Source organism: Homo sapiens, chromosome 21, assembly GCF_000001405.40.
Source record: "Homo sapiens chromosome 21, GRCh38.p14 Primary Assembly".
NCBI lineage: Eukaryota > Metazoa > Chordata > Mammalia > Primates > Hominidae > Homo > Homo sapiens.
Genome location: NC_000021.9, coordinates 15,486,458 through 15,488,898, shown reverse-complemented (window position 1 = coordinate 15,488,898; position 2,441 = coordinate 15,486,458). Strand labels below are relative to the sequence as shown.

The 2,441-nt window shown below is 37.3% G+C and overlaps 1 annotated feature.

Moving 5' to 3' along the window:
* Positions 280 to 488: a silencer, noted in NCBI's record as "fragment chr21:16860730-16860938 (GRCh37/hg19 assembly coordinates)". NCBI's record gives its function as "represses an EF-1alpha promoter that drives an FKBP-Casp9 reporter gene in an ReSE screen in phorbol 12-myristate 13-acetate-treated (for megakaryocytic differentiation) K562 erythroleukemia cells {active_cell/tissue: K562(+PMA)}" and the evidence as "EXISTENCE:reporter gene assay evidence [ECO:0000049][PMID:32094911]".

The window sequence follows — 2,441 nt, the reverse complement described above, 5'->3', positions numbered from 1 at the left end:
AAAAACATTCTTGGTGTGGTAGTTCCTAAGATGGCTTCCAATGAGCTCTGTTTCCTGATATTCACATCTTTGTTTGATTTCTTCCCACTGAGTGTGAGTTGGAGTTAATAACTTGCTTCTAAGCGATGCCACTTCAAGATGAGGTTGTAAAAGTCAGTGACTTCTATTTTGCTCACATTCTGGGGCTGTCTTGTTGGCTCATTCTGGAAGCCAGCTGCCATGTTCTGAGCCACCCCATGGAGAGCGCACAAGGGCAGCCTCCAGGCAACAGCCTGCAAGGAATTGAGGCCTTCACTCCAATAGCCAGCGAGGAACAGAATCCTGCCAACAACTATATGGGCTTGGAAGCGGATCCACTCTCAATAGAGCACTGGGGTGTCTGTGATTTTCTCCTAGTAAGCAACTCAGAGCCAGAGGACCCAGAGAAGCTACAAGGAATTGTGAAATAGTAAATGCTATTGTGTTAAGCCACTAAGTTTTGGAAGAATCTGTTATGCAGCAATAGATAATATATCTAGGCTTAAATCTCAGCTTCATTCCTTTGGAGTAGTATGATTGTTTATAGGTTATTTAAGCTTTTTATGCCTTCATTGAATTATTTGTAAGCTTTGGGAAAAGAGTAGTACCTAACTTATAAGGATATTGTAAGAACCAGTAAAATATATTAATCCCTGGGAGGACAAAATAGAAGAAGCGCAATGCATGTTCATTTTCATTCACACTGTCTCAGGAACCGTATGGAATTACAGTGACTGCTACTTGCAAGGTGATTGGCAATGGGGTCTTCCTAGCTGCGACAGAGTCACTTCTTCAGTGATGCCATCTAATGAGACTATCAATTGGATCTGATATTATCCAAATGATTAATTCAGATAATTTGGGGGAAAAAAGATATGTTGAAATTGAGTACTCTGTTTTCTATTTTGCACCAATGATTTAAAGAATAATTAGAAAACCAAATATTTAAATATTTAGCACCAAAATATTTAAAGTATAATTGTGACATCTGATAGACATATTAAGCTTTTAAGATGTTGGCGTCTCATTTTGAATATAGGCTGAAGTCAGAGGTCAATATTTGTGGTAATTAGAAAATGTATATAAAGGAACTTAATATTGTCTCGTTCTTGTTAGTTTTGCATTTTGGACTATTTAAGTATCCCAGAGTTGTGAATTAGGATTTATGTTTGTCACAAAAGCAAATGAAATGAACTCAGTGAATTTATCAGATTATCATCTTACAACACATTAATTAAATATTACCTATTACATATTTGTGTCTATAATTACTATCCAGTAATTATTAAACCAAGTCTGGTATTCTTGCAAATCAAACTATACAATCCAAGTAAATTTTTACCTTCAAATCTTTTTTCTGGCCATTTGTCTTTTTCTTTTAATCATACATTTTCTTTGGAGTTGTTAAAAGAGCAAAGTCATACATTTGAGTAAGTGCAGATGGCCAAGATTAAGAGAACATTCAGGCTAGGGTCCCTCCAACATAATTTAATTTAGGGGTTCGAGAGTTCCAGAAAGCTTTCCGCTGGGGTAGAAAGGCATTTTAGGAGGATGTGAGTGACTGGCAGCCTTGCCGAAGTAATTTGTACTCTCTTTCCAGCCAACTGCAATAACATCAACTTCAAGTGATAAGGATACTGCTAAATTTGCTTTAATTAATGTCAGGTTCCTGAGTAATAAATCACTATTAATTGTTGAGTTAGTTTTTTGGAAATGGCCTAGTCTTTTTGGCTGTTGCTGATATTTGGCTGGGAAAGTCTTCCACTTGTGGAGGCCCTACCTGCTCAATCATTTACTTTACTGTTCTTAGCTTTTCAAGGTAAGAATTTCATCACGGTTGAAGGTCCATGAAATTACTCTCATTTTATTTTGCAATTTTCCCAAAGAGTAGAATTTCATAACCTAATGTGGAATTCAAAAAGGGAAAACATCTATATGATTCTACTCTTCTAATCCCGAAGAGTAGAATTTCATAACCTAATGTGGAATTCGAAAAAGGAAAACATCTATATGATAAAAAATAACTGAACTTCTGTCTTCATTTTTCAATATTTTCTGGAGATGCCAGGATACACAAAACCTGTATTTTTTTCCTCTCTTCTCCCTATAATTTAGAGATGCATTTCTGAGTTGCGTAATTTCTAAAAAAGAATGTGTGTGCGTGCGCACATGCGTGTGTGTACTTGTGTATGTGTGCGTGTGTGTGTGCACATGGGTGTGTGCATGTGTGTGCGTGTGTGTGCATGCATGCACGTGTGCCTGTGTGTGTGCACGCATGCATGTGTGCATGTGTGTGTGTGCATGTGTGTGTAAGTTCTCCTAGCTATTTGGTCTATCCTTTAATTCAACTTATTTGAGCTGGTTGGTCTCATCTAGTCTAACCTTGCAAAGAATCCCCTTCTCAACCAAGGATCCATCTTGTG